The sequence below is a fragment of the Homo sapiens genome, chromosome X, assembly GCF_000001405.40.
Source record: "Homo sapiens chromosome X, GRCh38.p14 Primary Assembly".
Classification (NCBI taxonomy): domain Eukaryota; kingdom Metazoa; phylum Chordata; class Mammalia; order Primates; family Hominidae; genus Homo; species Homo sapiens.
The window spans coordinates 41,660,069-41,681,840 of NC_000023.11; the positions used below are offsets into that span (position 1 = coordinate 41,660,069).

The 21,772-nt window shown below is 38.4% G+C and overlaps 1 protein-coding gene, 1 long non-coding RNA gene and 1 pseudogene across 13 annotated transcripts in view; 1 reads left to right on the forward strand and 2 right to left on the reverse strand.

Annotated features, from left to right (window-relative positions):
- The window catches only part of LOC124905180 (uncharacterized), a 39,334-nt gene extending 38,731 nt beyond the window's left edge, over positions 1 to 603 (forward strand). The window contains exon 3 of the long non-coding RNA XR_007068219.1: positions 206 to 603. This is a non-coding gene — a long non-coding RNA (uncharacterized LOC124905180). The remainder of the gene's footprint in view (positions 1 to 205) is intronic.
- Positions 1 to 21,772, reverse strand: part of CASK (calcium/calmodulin dependent serine protein kinase) — a 408,621-nt gene that overhangs the window by 145,135 nt on the left and 241,714 nt on the right. For 11 of the 12 annotated variants that reach the window (NM_001126055.3, NM_001410745.1, NM_001126054.3 and 8 more), the window contains exons 6-8: positions 11,360 to 11,462; positions 5,209 to 5,384; positions 371 to 493 (exon numbers count right to left, since the gene is read on the reverse strand). In NM_001126055.3, the coding sequence (NP_001119527.1) occupies positions 371 to 493; positions 5,209 to 5,384; positions 11,360 to 11,462 (402 nt within the window). Of the gene's footprint in view, positions 1 to 370; positions 494 to 5,208; positions 5,385 to 5,668; positions 5,785 to 11,359; positions 11,463 to 21,772 lie in introns of those variants that run through there. The other variant, XM_011543997.4, reaches the window with a different exon arrangement.
- Positions 13,784 to 16,438, reverse strand: YWHAZP10 (YWHAZ pseudogene 10; annotated as a pseudogene).

Sequence of the window (21,772 nt, forward strand, 5' to 3'; positions counted from 1 at the left end):
TAATGCTATAAAGCACACAGTCACACCCAAAATAAAGATAGTTAATTTATTATAACATGGTATTACTTCAGTTGTTGATGTTGCATATCTTTGGAACACATGTTGGCAGAGAAAAAAGAGGCCTTCCCCTGATATATTCTGTCTTAATCCTGTTTTTTACCCTCTGATAGCTGCATGACACTCAAATGGTATGTCTTCTATTCAGATGTTCACAGATGATGTGCAGGAACAGCAAACAAGATGAAAAAAACTAATGAAAACTGCTCAGAAAAAAGAAAAGGTAAAAAGGACCATCTCATAGAGCAACGCATTCCTGTCACTGGAAGTGTTCAGACAAAGTGTAGAAGGTGACCTGTGAATGCTCATGTACCTTAAGCCATGGGTGATTCAGTGCTTCATAAACAGTGATCCTTTCAGCTGGATCCAGCATCAGCATGCGACGTACTAGGTCTTTGGCACTTTCAGAGATATGGCTCCACTGCCTTGGATTCATCTGAGGAGGAGGAAAGGAAAACTACATAGTTACCTTAAATGAGACATTAACATTCACTATTATTTAATATTCCTATATTGCTTCAATGTGAATAAAATTCTGAGAGCAAAGAACAGAAATTTGATTCTAAAGGCTTGCATTCTAAGAAAAGGACAAATGCAATTCTTCTGTTGTTCTTTACTACATAAGAATTTGTGTTAGTAAATATTCCATACCCATATTCTTGTTATGTAAGTGATAATATTTTCAATAATTGAAGACTAGAATGTTCATTATTCCAGTTTCTATCTTTAGATCCTTAGCTAGGGAGACTAGAATACATCGATCCAGAAAGAACTAAAATAAAACTTAAAATTTTTAAAGAAATATTTTTAAGATATGTTTTAAAAAATCGAGGTTAGCAATAATTGTGAACTGTGCAAAGTTTTTAATAGGATATTTTGGTCACTGCATATCAACTTCGGTGTTTAGGAAAAAGTATTCTACTACCGTAGGTCCCACAGAATAACAGATTTGCTTGAATACTGTCCTCAGTGAAGTTACTTTTGTCTCTTTTAGAGATGAGACAACTAAGCCACATGGTATATTGATTAAAATCAAACAAAAATAATTATGAATTGTTCAAAAGACACAGGACTTATGAGAAAGGCTGTGGATCTGTGAGCCAAGTGCTAGAAGGCTCCTGGGAAAAGGGATATGTCTGAGACCCAGAATCATTTAAAAAAAAATCAGAGTGGTTAGGGCATGGGGTTGGGAAGGCAAGTGGGGAAAGGAGACAGAGACAGAGTAGGGTCTCATTCCTTGTTCAATATCAACAGGTTTACTGATGGGGTGAGTTTATGTGAGCTACCCAGTGCCAGGACCTTCAAGCAAAGCCATGGCTTTAACAGGCAGAGACCTACATCACCTTCTAAGGAAGAAAGATGAAGAATAAACTCCACAACATTTTAAAGCCAAATGAAACTGCAGTACTTGCACTGCAGTATAAATGAATCATCACAATTTGAGCAAGGGCTAGCATTAGCTCTGACTAATGTGAGACTTTGTACTTGAAGATGGGGAGTGAAAAGTGTCTTTATGTTGGGGATAGCCCTTAAAATTGAAGTGTGCTTCATTTTTCCCCCCAACAGGCAGAATTTCAAATAGTAGCCACTTCTGCTTGTCAAATCCCATTAAGACTAATGCCATAAGGCTGTTTAATTATCATTATCCAGCCGGGCACAGTGGCTCATGCCTGTAATCCCACACTTTGGGAGGGATGAAATCCCACACTTTTCATCCTAGTGAAATTGTGGTCAACTGACCAGTTTGAAATGAGGTAAGTGATTAGACAGGGCTTGGGTAGACTTGTTTCCTCTCCCTATCCTGGAGCGAATGTGCTCTTTAAAGTCTGAATAATTTTTCCTTGACAAAGTGGTTGAGAAATCATCTGAAAGGGGTGGTAAGATTTCTGAAATGAGTAGAGGTTTAGAAGGATACTCCCTTGTCCTTTTTACAAGACAGTCCAACACAGGATTTTCTATTCCTTCAGCTGAGAAGAGTAGCTAAAACAAATTGGGGAGATTGAATCTATACGGGGGAACAAAATAAGGCTATAAAACAATCTTACTTATTTGAATACCAAACCCATAGCAGCTTAGAATCTTGCTGTGTATATACTAACTGGTTATCTGTAATAATGATATGACATTACACTTCTTATATATGGTTTGGGAAATATATTTTTGCCCTTTACAAAGAAGTTAATTGAGGTTAAGTGTTAGCATATACTCCAGTGAAACAGTATTTTCTAATGTGGTCTCACATTTGCAACTGCTGGAGGTAAAAAAAGAAAAAAAAAGTACTGCATTTAAAAGGTGTCATCAAACTTTTCTTTAAAATATCCATAGAGATCAAGAATTTTGTTAATAGTTCTTTTGCTCAGAACCATTAGGGTGATGAAATGTGGCCGGGTGCGGTGGCTCACAGCTGTAATTCCAGCACTTTGGGAGGCCGAGGCAGGTGGATCACTTGAGGCCAGGAGTTTGAGACCAGCTTGGCCAACATGGTGAAACCCCCGTCTCTACTAAAAATACAAAAATTGGCTGGGTGTCGTGGTGCATGCGCCTGTAATCCCAGCTACTCGGGAGGCTGAGTCACGAGAATCACCTGAACTTGGGAGGGGGAGGTTGCAGTGAGCCAAGATCGTGCCACTGCACTCCAGCCTGGGTGACAGAGCAAGACTCTGTCTCAAAAAAGAACCACCAAGGTGATGAAATAATTTTTTTGAAATCTATTTTTTTTTTTTTTTTGGGAAGACAGGGTCTTGCTCTGCTGCCCAGGCTGAAGTGCAGTGGTGTGATCATGGCTCATTGCAGCCTTGACCTCCCAGGCTTAGGTAATCCTGCCACCTCAGCCTTCCAAGTAGCTGAAATTACAAGTGTGTGCCACCACACTTGGCTAATTTTTGTACTCTTTGTAGAGACCAGGTCTCCCTATGTTGCCCAGGCTGGTCTTGAGCTCCTGAGCTCAAGTGAGCCCAGCTGAGATCTGCTTTAAAATAATGTAATAATATGTTGAATACAGATAAAACAAGATTGTCTGTGTTACTGAAGCTGGGAGCTCATTATACTATTCTCTCTACTATTTTTGTTCGAAATTTTTGATAATAAAAGATAGAAAAATAAATGCTGACAGAATCATATGACAGTATACTAAAAGAAAAAGGCCGAGATTCATCATAGATGGTAGAGATGGATCTATACTTCAAACTAAGGTGGTGAAAACCTAGGCTTTTTGTAAGGAAAGTCCTGAAGATAAATGAGAGGTGAGGTTAGCCAAGTAAAAAAGTAAATAAATTATTAACCTCAAAGCTTCAAACCCCAGGTACAAAAAAAAATTATGATGTAGCTGCCACCATCCATCTGACTTACTATAATACTAGGAAGAGGGAATTTTTAAATGACTTAATTTTTGCACATATGTGAATAGTCTAAGTCTTTTTACCAAGAAACAAAAATAACTATTCAATGTTTTAAAAATAGACGAAATAAAATACCAGAGTCTGTTGGAATGAAGCACATTGCCTTGGAAACTAGGAAGTTAACAACTGAACAAACACAAAGGAAGAATTCTATTATTAGCAAATGCCTATAACTCAAAAACGCAGGTGGGGGATTATTATTATATGGTACCTACCTCACAAGTTGCTGTGAGGGTTAAATGAATTAAACTATTCTAAGCACTTTACTTATGTAAAGTATGCTATGCTATGTGCTATGCCTGAGTTAGCTATCATTATTGCTAGTATTATTATTATGCTGATGTATCACTAATCATGTTTCTTTTAAAACGTTAGTATCTGTGATTTCACTTGGCTAAATTCAACCAGAATTTGGCTGTGCATTCCTGAGAGCAACTTACAACTTCCCTGGATTGAAGAGGGATGACTACTTACAAGCAGTTTCCTGAGACATTTAGTTACCTGGTAAGTATTGATTTTATTCCCCAGTGGCCAGCTGACTCTGGGAGGAGCAGAATATGCTACACTGAAAACATCTTTCTCTGTTAACAGAGTTTTGGTATATATCTTAAACTAACTAAAACAAAAGACAAACTTATATGCACTCATAAACTGATGGTGAGTGAGGTAAATAAACCAACAAAAGTATATACCATTCTCATCTCCATAAACTTCAGTTATGGCTTAAAAGGATAAGACTGTAACTCTGGAACCACTTTACTTTTCTTCTTTTTAAATTTTATTTTTCCAAGTCCCATATAAAATTCTAACATTACCGAGGAATTGAAGAGAAAACTTTAGGGGCCTCATAGTTTTAGAGTCCAGTGTTACATACACATGTTTTTGGTTTTATGTTGTCAGTCATGGCTGAAAATGAAACAGTGATGAGGTTGAATAGAAAGTATGAGTTTCAGTAATAATGAGAGGAAAAAGAATTTCCCCAACTTAAACAGCCTTAACCTGATACCCAGACACACACATCCCCATGCTTCCCATGCCCAGCCTCCTAGTCACTGTCAGTCGTACCTTGTGGGACAGGGCAAAGGAGTCTAAAAGCTGGGGTAGTGAAATCAACTTTAAGCTTACTTATTTCCAAGAAGTCCTTAGGTGTTTGTGATATCGCTATTCATAAAGTCAGTAATGAATTTTCAATTTTTTACTAGTTAAAGTAATGATTTACTAATCACAAGTCTGTGATAGTACATGAGGCTGCCAACACCTAATAGCCAAAGAAGAATAGGAATGTTTAAGCCACACTGAAATGCCTCTATATTGTATCATGAAATGCAGTTGTCATCCTGGCATTTCAGTTTATCCTGGAATGTAAATGGCAAATGTTTTCAGCTGTGCTGGCCTAAATTTAAAATTAAGATAAAGAATGACTAAAATTATACCTGGATGAAATTCCATTTTAACTTTACAAATTAAGCAGAAGGCTTTAAAAATGAAGCCCCTTTCTCAAATTACACAAAGAAGGTTCATAAATGTTTTCTTCACCAGGGTGATAGCTCAGCTGACAATGACTCAGAAATTTACTTGAGGCCTATGTTGCCTACCAAGGCCACTGGATCAATGATGTAAGCAAAGACCTTTTCTCTGATGGGGTAACTACCTGGCAGTCAATTAGTGGGCAAAGACAGACAGTAACTTCAAAAAAACATTTTTCAGGATAAATTAATCTCAATGGAAAAAGAAAATGTTCATGATGCATTACCTTATATTTTCCTTTAATAATGCCTTCAAACAATCTTTCCTTGGTTCCGTAAAAAGGCAAACAACCACTGAGCAGGATAAAAAGGATCACACCGCACCCCCAGACGTCTACAGGCTTTCCGTAAGGCTCTCTTTTGACCACTTCTGGTGCCATAAAATGAGGTGTTCCAACACGTCCTACATTTAAAACAACATTAAGGAAAAATGTTTACATAAAATGGGATTTTCACTTGAAAACTAAAAATAATAGAACAATAACAATCCAAATAAAAAGTTTACCAATACATATACTCTCACCACTCCTCCACCTCTCCATAAAATCAAGTTCACATAGGTGAAAAAAATTACTTATCTAATTGCTTCCTGAAAACATTGAGCCCAGAATAGGTATTCTGTCTTGTACACTGGCACTCCCTATTGAATTCTGCATGCTACGTAGTAGGTATTTATGTGGTTCTTACCTCATGAAGAAGTTTAAATTTTCTAATTTTCACATGGTTGAAAGTCACCAAATATATAGAGCAGAGGCAGGTGAAAGAGTCAACAGGCAGAGCCTGTAGCTGTCCAGGAAAGAGTTGGGAGGCCTACCCTGGGCAGAGGCAGAGGCAGGGGAAAGGAGAGGAGGGGGCAGGAAGTCATGAGAAAAAAATCGGTGGAAAAAAGATGACTTGACTGCCAAATGGAAATTCCCCAATGAAACCAAATGCTGAGAACTGTTATTTGAAATATGAATTTGACTCTGAAATCCTGTTCAGTTGATTTTATGGGTTAATTATAGCAATTAACAATAGTTAGTAATATTTTGTTATAGTAGGAGTTTTTAGCTTCCTCCTAACATTAACATATGAAGAGAATGAGAGCAAATATATGGCATAAACAAAAGCAAAATTATGAAGCTCCTCCCATTCAATCCTCTTTGACTTTCATCTTCTTTAAAGAGTTTTCTTTTGTTTCTCTATCAAAAATTAGCTTTCTGTAAGGAATCTGATACTAGCTGTTTGCACATTCATAACTATCTTTAACTCAGTATCCCAAAAGAAGTCTTCTATTGTGGAATGAAAGGCTTGTACCCGGCAGGAAGATCACTGTGGGATGGGGCACTGCCCACTAGACTTGGCAGCTCTTCTAGATATATGCAAGCCCAGCCACCTCCCTTCCTCCCTCTGTCTCTCTCTTTCATCATACTGAGTTCAAGATAATTTTTAGTTTGAAGATTGTGCAATACTTTATCTAGAACTCAGAACTGTGGTTTTAAAAGACCTTAGAGATCTTCTGGTTCAGCTAGAGAGAATATATCAAGTTCTGTTCATGATTATGAAACTCAGTTGGGATGCAGAAAGATAAAAGAGCTCTTAGCTTGTGTATCAGGATGTACCTTTGCTGCAGATCATATGGTTTCCCTTCCTCCCCCCATAATAGAAAAGCTTAAGTTCAGGGTTCCAGTAGTGAAAATATTTTCATTTAAAATGTACGATAGATCAGTGAAAACTATTGACTAGAAGGACCTGGCTAGAGAAATACTTTTATTTCTGTATTGCCCCATTTTGCTTCCTCAAGTAACACGAAGAAGCTGCAGGGATGGGAACTAAGCCTTCCATACTTCATTAATAGCCTGGACAGGGAGGGGCCACTGGAGAATTAGCCTTGTTCTGATGGACAGGAGCTAGCAGGAGTAGGGGAAACCAGTATCATTCAATTGGTACCAGGGTACCAGTTAGGTACCTGCTGACAGTTTGGATGATGCTTTGAAACTCAACTTGACTCCTACCACTTCCTGGGCCAAGCCACTCAAAATGGGGGCCTTAACTTGGGAATAATCAGAGCGACCATGGCCAGTCCCAGCCATCCTGAGAAGGTTCTCTCCATTTAGCTAGACGAAGACTACCCAATTCTGGAGAATTAGTGTTCAATCTTCGGGAAGATGCCTGTTGTTTGGTTCAATAATTTGCTCACAGATGATAGGGGAAAAACCATGGTAGAAAGAATGTAGAGGAAGGCTCTTTTATTTCATGTAAATCAGTAGAAGGTAAAAAGGACTGGAGTTAATCTTTAATATACACCAACTTCCTAAAAATCCTTGTTTTTGCTGATACTTCTTCTTGACTTTTAGGACTTTGACCACAAAATTTTAAGAAAAGGAAACAAATTAGCAAACTAAATTAAATGGCAGTTTGAGATATTTTGGACAAATATTTAAATATTATATATTTTGATAATACAATAAAACCTTCCTACCAGAATCTCAGGGGGAGAATTGTTCTGAATAGCTACATTTTTAAATACATTGTGATTTGAATCTTTATGCGCACAATCCTTTTTGTTTTAATAATTTTTTTGCAGAGTCTCACTATTTTCCCCAGGCTAGTCTCAAACTCCTGGGCTCAAGCGATCCTTCTGCCTTGGCCTCTCAAGTAGCTGGGATTACAGGTGTGAGTCACAGTGCCCACCTTAGTTAAATAATTTTGTATGGCTTTCTACAATTTCCTGACTTCTTTTACACAGAATGCTGCTCATAATTTAACCTTTTCTTGATGACTCAGAGTTGTCATTGTAGATACTGATTAAAGACCTAGGCTGTAGAACAGAAAGCACCCTCAGGAACTTCAGAGGTATGCAAGAGTTGATTTCTTTCATATTGAAAGGCTGTTGCGCTTTCCAAGTTTTGGTGTCTGCTCAGTATATATCATATATATTTTTGTCAGGCTTTTATTTCTTTTCTCTCACTATGCTTTAGTTCTGCGTTCTCCTAATTTGTTGCTTTTATAATCTGCTATTAACTAGAACCTGACTAGCAACCAGTTTATTTCATTTAATAGCAATTTCCTAAGTGCTTGCTAGGTCCTAGATACCCTCAGCCATGGTCCCCCTTACTCTTACAAATCACAGTCTTTGATGTAAGTCCCTGCATCCAATGCTACATGGAGGTATGTAGCCCAGATAGTTATGGGAATATAGAGAGAAGGAATAGGGCTATCCAACTCGGGATGGTGAAGGTAAGCCTGCTTTAAAGAGGAGATAATTGTTAGCTCAGCCTTCCAGAACAGTAGGAGTTAACCAGATAGATAAAATAACAAAAGGCACTCCAACTAGAAGGAATAGCATGTGCAAGGTATGAAGGAACACGAATCTATACAACTTTTTAAAACATGGGAGCAAGTCAGCCTTAGAGAGTGTCTTTAGATGCTCAATTGTGAGGAGCATGAGTGGATTTTTAAGGGTAGGAATAATTTTGCTGCTATTGTAGTTATTTTCTAGGTTTCTAGTTGTATTCTGGATAAGTAAGTTTCCTAAATAGCTGAGTTTCAGGTAGGGGGAGTGTAAATATGTTTAAATGATTTTTACTATATGCAACATATAAAGAAATGAATTCCTTTCTATTTGGAGGACTAGGGACTGGGATTTCAAACTGACAGGAAAATGGCTTTCTGCTTTAAAGTTGATAAATAATTAAATGATTGACGGAATTTCTTTCTTTTTTTTTTTGAGATAGGGTCTTGCTCTGTTGCTCAGGCTGGAGGGCAGTGGTGCGATCTCAGCTCACTGCAGCCTCTGCCTCCCGGGTTCAAGCGATCCTCCCATGTAGCTGGGAATACAGGCTCTTGTCACCATGCCTGGCTAATTTTTGCATCTTTTTGGAGAAATGGGGTTTCGCCATGTTGCCCAGGCTGGTCTTGAACTCCTGGGCTCAATCTGCCCGCCTCAGCCTCCCAAAGTGCTGGAATTAGAGGCATGAGCCACCGTGCCCAACCTTAATTACCAAAATTTCAAAAGTACCTTAAACAGCAGAAAAGCTTTTTCTAAGAGAAATAATTTATCTCTAATTTATTCATATTCTATTTTTTAAAACGTAACATTCAGTTATTTCAAGAATACAAAAAAAGGTGTGCTAAGAAATGACAATATTTTGACCATCAGGAAGTATTTTAATTCTAGAAGCATGGAGAAAAATACATTTTGAATACTGACATACCAGCGGTGGGCGGTGGGGGGGAGTTCAAAATTAGCTTTAAAAATAAACAATTTAGGTGAAAGGTTCATGGACTTTAGAAAAAGATTAATATGGAGAAAATGTCCAGGTAAACATAATGCATCTATTTTCCCCCCCAGTCAAGATGTACAATAAAATACGAAGAACATGACATTCTAAATACCAACAGGATATAGATCCAGAGCAACAGAAACAAAGTCATTATATATGGCCAGTATATAACATATAAAATAAATTCATTTCATTTCATCCCATTAACCTTGGTAATATAATCATCAGAAATTATTTGTTATAATTACGTAGTCTTAACATAGAAATGATCTGTATAAGTACCAGAATTGAGAGAGTTAGCTTAACAGTGACATTTGTTTAAAAAATAATTTAGGATTTTCACTTGATTACAAGATCAGTATGAACCATCAGTGCTATGTAGTTGTCCAAAAAGCTAATGCAATTTGGGGAACTCGAGGGAAATTTAAGGCCCAGAACACAAAAAAGTGATAGCCCAATGCTACTGTGCACTGGATCGGCTGTACTGTACTACCTGTAGTTAGAGTGTTCAGTTCAGGCCCTGTACTTTGTGGATACTGAAGAGATTTTGAACCAGTTTATATGAAGAATGGCCAAATCACCCTAGGGAAGTTAACTTGGATAAGACCTAGGGGGACATGGTAGTTGTCTACAAACAGATGAACGGTTATCATACGGAAGGATGAAAATTGTTCAGAGTGGTTTCAAAAGTCAGGATTAGGATGACTGGGTAGAAGTTACAGAAAGATGCAAAGATGAGCTTTTTAATACTTAAGGAGTTATCCAAAAATGAAATGAACTGTCTTGGGATGTAGTGACTACTTTGCTCTCTGAGGTTTAATACCAGAACTCAATCTTTTCTTGGGAATATTATGGAAGAATTCAATCATTAGTTACAAGACTGGAGAAGTTAAGGCCCTTTGGAGTCCTGAGATTCTATGATTAAACTGTGCTTTACTACCTGACCCTTTGGTCAGTCTTCCAATCACTAACAGAAAGTTTTAAATTAGGGGAAAAAATTAGCATTCTTTGAAACTATACTCAGCTTGCAGTTTTGCATATTATTGGAAATGATTAACTGGAAAAGAATGTGAAACTAAAAGAAAATTTGAATGTAATTTAATTTTAGAGGGCACTGTGGTGAAAAAATTATTTAAAGAATACAACTATTGGCTGGGTGCAGTGGCTTACACCTGTAATCCCAGCACTTTGGGAGGCTGAGGCAGGAGGACTGCTTAGGCCCAGGAGTTTGAGACCAGCCTGGGCAATGTAGTGAGACCTTGCCTCTACTAAAAATAAAAAAAGTTTGCTAGGTATGGTGGCACACGCCTATGATCCTAGCTACTTGGGAGGTTGAGGTGGGAGGATCACTTGAGCCTGGAAGGTCAAGGGTGCAGTGCAGTGTGCCATGATCGTGCCACTGTGCGCTCCAGCCTGGGTGACAGAGCAAGACATTGTCTGAAAGAAAAAAAAAAAAATTACAACTATGACCTATGGCTCATTTTTCTGAAGATGGTCTATGTTGTTACTGCTTGATGTTCTAGCTATAAGGAATTGAGTTATATGAAATGTGCTGTGCAAGATTATATAATTTGTAACTTTTTTCTTTTTATTCTGACATGGGAATTTAAAAATTATGTTTTGCTTTGGCTAATAATAAAATCAGCCTGCATTCACATCTGCTTATTCTTTGCTAATATACAGGCTGATGGCTTGAGCAGGATTCTTTGATAAATGGAAAAAGGCAAACAGTATGAAATTAAAAATTAGCCATCAGTGTAAACCAGGAAGTGGCTAATCTACACATTTTAGATTTGACTTCATTTGGCCAGTTCAACTTTAAAAGGCACTATGCCTCAAACTTATTTTCTCTGAACACTGTTTTAATCTTGTACAGTCTCTTAAGTACTGGAGGTACAAAGAGAAAAAAGAGTCTATTCTTAAGGGACTAAGATTCTAGTTATGACTACAGAGTTATTAAATTAAAAACTATCTGATGATGCTTTTTGGGAGTTGGGGTGGGGTGGAATGAGGTATGAAACACTGAGGTTGGGCTAATATGTAGCTTGAAAGTTTTATACCAGTCGCAAGTGACCAGGTTTTGAAGAATTTTTTTTTTTTAAAGCAGTCTTACCTCCAGCTACAAGTCCAGACTCCCCTAATTGAATAGCTACCCCAAAGCCTCCAAGTTTAACAGGTGCCGAGTTTTCTTTTGAGGCAAGGAGAACACAGTGGGGCTGAAAAGAAAAACAGACGAACAAACAAACAAAAAACAAACCCGAAGATAAGGATTCATTGAAGATGAACAATGCAGTTTACATAAAATTAGATAACATGATAATAGAGAAACACATTAAAAACTTCTAAATTATTCTGGATGCTTGAATTATTTGTCATATTCTCACGTCTGGCTGATTTCTCCAAATACATACCTGTTCCATCCAATGTTCTTTAGGTATTATTTGCTTGTAAGGTTAGAGTACAGTGCTAAGAATTACTAAGGAAGCATGGATGTTCAAGAAACACAGATACATTTTTTTTGCCTTACTATGCAATATTGTCTTCCTTTGAGTGACAGTCTAGATTTCTTTAGGAAAAAATATATTTTACACTTCCAAAATGTTTCTTGAAACCTCTGATTTTACCTACAGAGCCATTGTATCCTGGTTGTTAGGGGATAGCCATGGCCCTTTCTTTCTCCACCCTGCCCAGTCCTCTTTTCTTTGCTTTATTCATTCCACCCTTAAGCCAAGGAGTACTACATGGATGGGTCAGATTTAATGATTTTAATTAAGCCTTGTTCCCAGGGACTTCAACGCTCTTCCTGGGCATGTCTTCTCTGGATCTGCTTTTCCTCTCTGTGGGGGTGGGAGGTGAAAAAGGAGAAGGGGAAAGAAAACCACTTGCCTGATTCCTAGTCCAGGGCAAAGACATCCTCTCCCCAAGGGGTATCCTGCTTGACCAGGGCTCCTTTATATCATATGCTTTGTGATAACAATGAGGGTTTCCTTTGTAGGATGTTGTCCTCTGCATCTATTTCTTACTGGGACCTAGTTGGGGCTGGTGTCAGGAAAGAATTTCATAATGGGGAGCTCTGGTATCTGCTTAAACACTGTCCTCCCCAATATGACTAAAACTACATCTGACCGGCTCTCAAAACAGGGGCTAGTAAAAAAAGCAAGTCTCTTTAGTCATAGAAGACAAAAGGTTTTTAAAAATTCTCTCCTATATTTTCTCATTCATAAAAGGACACAGTTTTTGTTCAGTTTTAGCCAACATAATAGGTATAAAAAAAGGGTGCAATCATACTGAGCTGGTACACCTGTGTTTGATGATGACACACAGGTGGGAGGAATCCTTACTCTGCCCAATGGGAGCATCAGGATTCTACTTTGGAAGTTATTCTTTCTGTCCAAAGAAGTTTAAAGACTTTTCCAATAGTCTAGCACAAACAGAGATGAGCCAGGAAATACAAGTGTGTATGTGAGAGCCAGAGAAAGAAGGAAGGCAAGTGTAGAAATGAATAGTGAGCAAACCACAGCATGACACAAAGTAGCAAGAAGAGTCTATGGGAGAGCAGGCAAACCTCTACCGAAATCAACTGATAGACTGCTGTTAGTTAGAACTTTCTGTTGGTTCAAAGAGAGAACAATGACAACAGACTAAGATGGCAATACCCCTAGCATGATTCCAGTATGGGACACAGCAAGTGAGCAAGCCTAGAAAAGAATGAACATGATACAGAAGAAAAAAGTGCAAACTAGACTCCAACAGGGTCTTCTGGCCATGGCTGTGTAACTGTTATCACCTTAGGAAGGAGTAGAAGCTGAAATCAGAACTCCAAAGTTCTGTATGCCCTTAATAGTATGTTGATGATGTTTAGGCTTAAGTTAATGTTACAAGGGAATTTATATAATTCTCCTCTGTGTAGATTCAGTCATTCTTGAATCCTTAAGACAAGTTATAAAATGTGAACTTAATTAAGTTAAATTAATTTATGTTTAAAAAGAGATGAGGGGTCTTGATATGTTGCCCAGGCTGGTCTTGAACTCCTGGTCTCAAGTGATCCTCTCACCTTGGCCTCCCAAAGTGCCCAGATTACAGGCATGAGCCACTGTGCCTGGCCTAAAGAGTTGAATTTAAGAAAGCAAATAGAGCCATAAATGCAAATTAACAGAATGTAAAGCCAGGTAGTATTACTTGTTAGGAAGTAAAATTAAGCTGGTAAGGAGGTGTTATAGGGATGGGGACTAGGGAATTGCTATTTTAGTTGGGGTCAGAGAAGGCCTCTCTAATGGGTAATATCTGAACAGAGACCAGAACGAAGTGAAAAAGCAAGCCACATGGAAGCAAGTTCCAGATGAGAAGAACAGCCAATACAAAGGCCCACAGGAATAAGGAGGGTTGTTTGGAGAAGAAGAAGGAAGCCCAGTGTGTCTGGAAAGGCATGAGAGCAAGGGGCAGAGCGGTGGGAAATGTGATCTGAGGGATGATCAAAGGTGTAGGGCCTTGAAACTGTGGTGAGAACTCTGGGTGTTTTTTTTTTTTTTTTTTTTTTTGCCTCCCATCATCAATATTTATTGAGCATTTACAGTGTACTAGGCACAACAGAACATACAGAAAACATTGTCCCTGCTCTTGAGGAGCTTACATTCTAAAAGAAAAAATATACCTCTTTTAAAATGGCATTTTTGTTTGGTGTTTTCTGCAAAGTACTGAGGAAATATTTTGTAAAGTGAGCTTTGGGTATAACTTAGCCCCATCATTATTTAGAGAACAGAGGAGGAAGAAAGAGGAAGGATTTTAAAGGCAGACAATGACAAACCATTCAGGATAGGCAGGGTTTTAAAGGGAGATAAACACAATCTCATCAACTAAGGAGAGATTTGCTGCAGTAAATAGGATGAGGGAAATAGTCTGTGGGATGCAAGCAAAGGAAGCAGGGTGCCTTAGACACTGAGTGGAGCCAGAAAGGTCATGCGGCCTTTTTCCAAGTACATGGCCACCAAGTAGGAATGGTTGGTGACAAGACAGAAGGCTAAAAAAGGAAGGTAATCTTGTGCACCTGACAAATAGAATAAAGGATCAAAATTGAAGGCAGACTATAAGAGTATCAAGAAATTCTTAAAAACCAAAAAGTGATTTGGAAGCACAAAACTTATAGTTAATGCTACCCAATGTCATGACGGGCCAAGAACATTGTGGCTTCCTAAGTTAGAAAATGCCATACGCCAAAATTTTAAATGGAACATATTACATTTTTTTCTAATCAATCTCCCCTCTCCCAAAAAAATTGGAACTCATTTTTTTCAGGGTGGGGAGGAAGAGAGGGGATCACGGGACATGGAAACAGTAGTTATATTAGTAGTATTTTTGTTGTTATGATAAATTTTGTGTTTAAACTTGGTAAAAGCCCATTAGCTGCCAAGAGGGAATAAGGAATAAATTTCAAAAAATGTACAATTTCCTTTAGAGAAGTTTCAGAACCAAAAGACTAATTTACATGAAAAGCTGTAGAGAAAGTAGTTGAAAAGTCCATTCATAAAACTTTTATTCCACTTACATGAATTTAATACATGTGTTCTTAACAATTATGCTTGGATTGTTATACAGCACATGCATGTTAGGCAAGTATCAAAAAAAAAATCACAAAAGCAAAAAACCTAAAAAAAAAAAGTTAAATACATGGGTTTTTGTTTTACTGCTGTGCTTGATACAGATGAAGTAATGAATACCAAGCAATTCATTTTTCCTGCATCTTTACTTTTACATTTGTTCTTAGGTTGCCTAAAACATTTAGATACAAATAAAATGAGTGTAGCAAAAATAATGAAAGCTAACAGCAGGTAACTTTACAAATAATGGAATGTGAACCGTTTCTGCCCTTATCCAGAGTAAAATGGGTCACAACTTTGTCTAAAGGAACACTTCTGCAGTTGTAGTCAAAGGTGTGCACATTGAGATTGAGTATTCCACAGATATACATGGTTTAATATGTGGTATCCATGGGGTATGTTTCTACCACAGCCTTGTAAGTGCTCCAAACCTTAAAGTACCCACAATTACTACACCTGTGACTGGAACCAATGATCCCTTTTATTCCCCACCAGGACAAACCAATATGTAGGCAGTTTTCTTTGCTTGGACAGGGAAGCAGTTTTACCCTGGCCCTTGTGAAGCCACAATGTACCAAAAGTACTATGCCAAACATTTATAACTTGTATAAAAATTCCACATCCCCATATTGGCCACCTCAAGATGAAAACAGGTAACTCCCTAAATGTTAACTGGCTCTACTCCCCTAATATTAAACATGAAAACCACATGGGAAACATAGAAATTCAAATAGAAGTAACATAAACCTGTCATAAATCGTAAATAAAAAACTTTGTGGGACAGCATGGATGACAAATGGTCTACTGTGTAAATTTTAGAATGAGGCACACAAAAGTTGGAAGGCCGGTTAATTTTCCCCTCCTTCTCCTGCTTCAGCTTCGTCTCCTTGGGTATCTGATGTCCACAATGTCAAGTTGTCTCTCAGTAATTGCATTATTAGCATGCTGTCTTTGTATGACTCTTCAATTAATGTATCAAGTTCAGCAATGGCTTCATCAAAAGCTGTCTTTGCAAGAGAGCAGGCTTTCTCTGGGGAGTTCAGAATCTCATAATAGAACACAGAGAAGTTAAGGGCCAGACCTGGTCTGATAGGATGTGTTGGTTGCATTTCCTTTTTGCTGATTTCAAAAGCTTCTTGGTATGCTTGTTGTGACTGATCCACAATCCCTTTCTTGTCATCACCAGTGGCAACCTCTGCCAAGTAATGGTAGTAATCTCCTTTCATTTTCAAAGAGAAGACTTTGCTCTCTGCTTGTGAAGCACTGGGGATCAAGAACTTTTCCAAAAGAAACAGTACATCATTGCAGATATCTCTTAGCTCCGTATCAACTTTCTCTCTGTATTCTCGAGCCATCTGCTGTTTTTTCTCAGCACCTTCCGTCTTTTGTTCAATACTTGAGACGACCCTCCAAGATGACCTACGGGCTCCTAAAACATTTTTATAAGCAACTGAGAGAAGATTCCTCTCCTCATTGGATAATTCAGCTCCTTGCTCAGTTACAGACTTCATGCAGGCTGCCATGTCATCATATCGCTCAGCCTGCTCGGCCAGTTTGGCCTTCTGAACCAGCTCATTTTTATCCATGACTGGATGTTCCCGCAGTGGGCTCCCCTCGCGCCGGCACGCGGCCTCGCCTGGGTCTACCTGGCGGGCGCCGCTGGGCCGGGCCTGGGCTCTGGCCTGCTCTCCGAACTCTGGGTTTTATGTTGAGCGAGATGGGAAATCACCATAAGGTTTTGAACAGGGGAGTACTATCATCAGTTTTAGGTTTTAAAAGGATCACTCTGGCTGCTGTGTGAGGAGATTGTGAAGAAACAGGGAAAAAGGAGACCAATTAAGAGGCTACTGCAGTTGCACAGGCAAGAGAAGATGGTGACTTGGACTAGACTAGAGTGACAGAAGCAGAGATGATGAGAAGTAGTCAAATTCAGTTTATGTTCTAAAGGTAAAGCTGACAGGAATTGCTACTGGATATGAGCGTGAGAGAAAGACACAAGTCAATTATAACAATTAGTTTTCTGGTCTGAGCAACTGAGTGAAAATGAAGATGCCATTTACTGAAACAGGGAACACTGAGGGAGGAGTTTGTAAGGTGGATCAAGAATTTGGTTTCAGGCTGGGTGCGGTGGCTCACACCTGTAATCCTAGCACTTTGGGGAGCCAAGGCGGGAAGATTGCTTGAGCCCAGGAGTTTCAGACCAGCCTGGGCAACATGGCAAAACCCCATCTCTATTTTATAGAAAAATGAAAAAAAAAAAAAAAAGAATTTGGTCTCATACGTATTGAGTTTGAGATTTTATAAGATGACATTAAGGGGAAGCTGGGATTAGAGGTGTAAATTTGGGAATCAACAGTACACAGATGATATTTACAGCCATGGTAAGGAATGAAATTGCTTAGGAAATCATAGAGAAGAGTCAGAGGATTGAGTCCTGGTGCACGCCAATATCTGAAGTCAGAAGAAAAAATCTAGCAAAGAAAACAAGGTCTAGACAGTGAAGCAGGAGGAAAATCAGTTTGGTATCCGGAAGTCAAGTGAAGAAACTTTTTCAAGTAGGAATGATTAGTAGTCATCAATGTTACAAAGGTCATTTAAAATGAGAACTGAGAACTGACCATTAGATTTGGCAATTTGGAAGTTACTGGTGACCTTGATAAGAGTGGTTTTGGTGGCACGATGGAGGCAAAAATCCCCATTGGACCAGGTTCAGGAGAGAATGGGAGGAGATGATGTAGTGACAGTAAATACAGATATCTTTCACAGTCTTACTGTAGTAAAAATGGAGAAATGGGATGTAGAAGAAAGTGTGAAGCTGAGGATGCCTCTTTTTAACATTTACAAGTGGAGAAAATAGATTAATAAACTTCCATGTATCTATCACCCAGCTTTGGCAATTACTGACATTCTTTCAGCTCCTCCCCTGGCCTGCTGGGATGTATGGGCAACTTGCCCGTCTCCAGGCAAAAATAAAACAAAAACAAACAAACGAAAAACCCAAAAACAAGGACATTCTTTCATTTTTGCTTCATCTATCCCCAACTGTTTACTTTTTTTCCCCAGAAGTATTTTAACATAAATGTAATTTAACCTGTTAATAGTTCAGTATTTCTAACACAGGACTTAAAAATAACCATAATATCATTATTAAGTCCAACAAAATGAGCAATACTTCTTTAGTATCATCTAATACTCAGTCCACATTCAGTTTTCCTTGATTGTCTCAAAAATGTCTTTTCTCTACCAATAACTTGAAGGAGTAGAACAGACTAAAAAAAGAAGAAAGGTCTTATTACGGTTGGTTGGTTCTAGACAGGATCCAAGGTCTGTACATTGCATTTGATGACTATGTCTTGTGAGTGTCTCTTACTCTGTAACAGATCCCCTTCCTTATGCTTTTTTTTTTCCAATGTTCATGCCATTGATTTGTTAAGATACTAGGTAATTTTTCCTGTGAAATCCCCCACAATCTGTACTTGACTAATGGTACCTACATGGTATTATTTAATGTTTTTTACTCTCCTGTATTTCCTGTAAATTTGTAGTTAGATCTAGAATCTTGATTAGATTCAGATTCAATTTTAGTTTTATGCACTAATACTTCATAGGTGATATATCTATTGTATTGCAACAGGAAGAACATAGCACCTGGCTATCCTACTTTTAGTGACAGGATTGAGCAGTGGGTTCAGGTGTTGTCTGCCTGACCCATCATTATAAGATTCACCATCAACTTTTCACTCAATGATGTTAGCAGATGTTGATGCCTAGACCCATAATTAGAGGTGCCAAAATGGAGGTTTTCTTCAACATTTTGTTATGAAAACTATCAAACATATAGAAAATTGAAAGAATTATATTGTAAAGAGCCACCTAGATTCTACAATTAAATATTGTTACATTTGCTTTATCAAATATCTATCTCTTTATCCTTCTATCCATCTTACTTTTTAATACACCTTAGCACACATATCATTGAAATTTAATATTTGTTTAAAATTATGCCTCTACTTAAAAAAAAAAAAAAGCCAGTTTTGGTGGCGTGCACCTGTGGTCCCAGTAACTTGGGACCAGTAACTTGAGGTAGGAGGATCACTGGAGCCTGGGAGCTTAAGATTGCAGTGAACTGCAGTTGTGCCACTGCACCCCTGCGTGGGTGACAGCAAGACCCTGTCTCTTAAAACTTCTATAAAAAGTAAAAAAAAAATAAAGTTATGCTTAAGGTAAAAAATGTATATACTGTGAAATGCACAAAAGCGTACCATTAGAGTTTTGATGAACTGCATACATTTGTGTAACCCAAATCCCTAAAAAAATTCATTATCCCACAAACCTCCCTCCCTCATCCCCTTCCCATTCAATCTCTGCTGCCATCTCCCCCAGTGCAAACCACTACTCTGATATTTTTTTCACCATAGGTTTGTTTTGCCTATATTAGAACTTGATAGACACAAAACCGTAAGTATGTATTCTTTTATGTAAGGCTTCTGTCATTCAGCATGTTCTGAGATTCATTCATTTTGTTGTGATCAGTAGTTCATTTCTTTTTACTACTGCCGTAAGTATTGCATTGTATGAATATATCAGTTTGTCCATTCTCCTGTTGACAGACATTTAGGCTATTTCTAGTTTTTGGATATTATGAATAAAGCTGTTATAATTTATTTCCAGAATACCAAGTTAGTTTCTAGGCAACCTCCAAAGGTGACTGATGAGGTGTTTTTTTTTTAATTATTATGAACTTACAGATTTTTATATATTTAATGTGTTTTAATCAGTTGCTGCCTTTACAAATTTTTGTGCTCAAATTGTCCCATTTTGGGCCAGTGGGAGCCCCTTTAAGTCAGTTCTTCTGTATTTTTGTAAGACTCCAGAAGTCTGATAACTTCCTTGCTTTCAGTCACAAGATGATGTTCCAGGCTTGTCATGTCCATTTCTTGCCCCAGATCTGGAATCAGCCATTTCTCTAAGTAGCCCTGTTTCTTTTTAGTGCAAAAAACGATTTAAATCCATGATGTGGGCCAGGTGCGGTGGCTCATGCCTGTAATCCCAGCACTTTGGGAGGCCAAGGTGGGTGGATAACTTGAGGTCAGGAGTTCAAGACCAGCCCGGCCAACCTTGTCCCTACTAAAAATACAAAAATTAGCTGGGCGTGGCGGCACATGCCTGTAATTCCAGCTACTCGAGAGGCTGAGGCAGTAGCTTCACTTGAACCCAGTGAGCTGAGATTGCACCACTGCACTCCAGCCTGGGTGACAGAGTAAGACCTTGTCTCAAAAAAAAAAAAAAAATTGGCTGGACGCAGCGACTCATGCCTGTAATCTCAGCACTTTGGGAAGCCGAGGTGGGCGGATCAAGAGGTCAAGAGATTGAGACCATCCTGGCCAACATGGTGAAGCCCTAACTCTACTAAAAATACAAAAATTTGCTGGGCGTGGTGGCATGCGCCTATAGTCCCAGCTACTCAGGAGGCTGAGGCAGGAGAATCGCTTGAACCCAGGAGGCGGAGGTTGCAGTGAGCCAAGATCGCGCCATTGCACTCCAGCCTGGCGACAAAGCGAGACTCTGTCTCAAAAATAATAATAATAAAAATAAAAATAAAATAAAATATATAAATAAATCCATGATGTGGGTACTAGGCATATTATTTTTACTGGGTTATTATTACTTTGGCTTTTCAGTGGACAGTGCTGAAAAAAGAATGCATTTTTAGGAGAAAAATAAACCATGCTGGGCGTGGTGGCTCACGTCTGTAATCTCAGCAATTTGGAAGGCCGAGGCGGGAGGATCACCTGTCGGGAGTTCAAGACCAGCCTGACCAACATGGAGAAACCCCGTCTCTACTAAAAATACAAAATTAGCTGGGTGTGGTGGCAGAAGCCTGTAATCCCAGCTACTTGGGAGGCTGAGGCAGGAGAATCGCTTGAACCTGGGAGGTGGAGGTTGCGGTAAGCCGAGATCATGCCATTGCACTCCAGCCTGGGCAACAAGAGCGAAACTCGGTCTCAAAAAAAAAAAATAAATAAATAAACCACAAGTTCAAGCTAATATTTCTTCCTATTCAATTATAGCATTTTTACTTTAATTCTTTGATTTGGCAAGTATAGTTCACTTTTGAACATGGGTTTGAACTGTGTGGGTCCACTTATACATGGATTGTTTTCAACAAAATATATTGAAAGTTTTTTTTGGAGATTCGTAACAATTTGAAAAAACTCGTGGACCAACCATGTTGCCTAGAACTATTTTAAAAATTAAGAAAAAGGTGAAGGATGACTTCTGGAATAAAAAATTAAGAAAAAGCTATATCATAAATGCATAAAACATATTTAGATACTATTTTATTATTTAGTACTATAAAAATGTACACAAATCTATTATAAAGAGTTAAAATTTATCAAAACTTACACCTACACAGACTGTAAACGGTGCCATTCAGTCAAGAGAAATGTGAACAAATACAAAGAATGCAATATTAAATCATAACCATAAAATTAACTGTAGTACATATTATACTACTGTAATAATTTCACAGCTCCCTCCTGTTGCTGTTGCAGTGAGCTCAAGTCTTGCGAGTATTCACCTAATATGTTGTGTGATGCTACTTATCTTTGCTTGAGCAGTTCATCTCTCCAATAAATTGCATATCACAGTAAAAGTAATCTCACAGTTCTCATATTATTTTCACTGTGTTTAGTGCAATACCTTAAACCATAGGATCCATAAAAAGTGCCATTGGTGATGCTAGAAGTGCTCCTAAGAAACAGAGGAAAGTCATGACATTACAAGAAAAAGGTAGGCTGAGGCAGGTGGATCACCTGAGGTCAGGAGTTCGAGACCAGCCTGGCCAACATGGTGAAACCCCATCTTTACTAAAAACACAAAAATTAGCCGGGCATGGTGGCAGGCGCCTGTAAATCCCAGCTACTGAG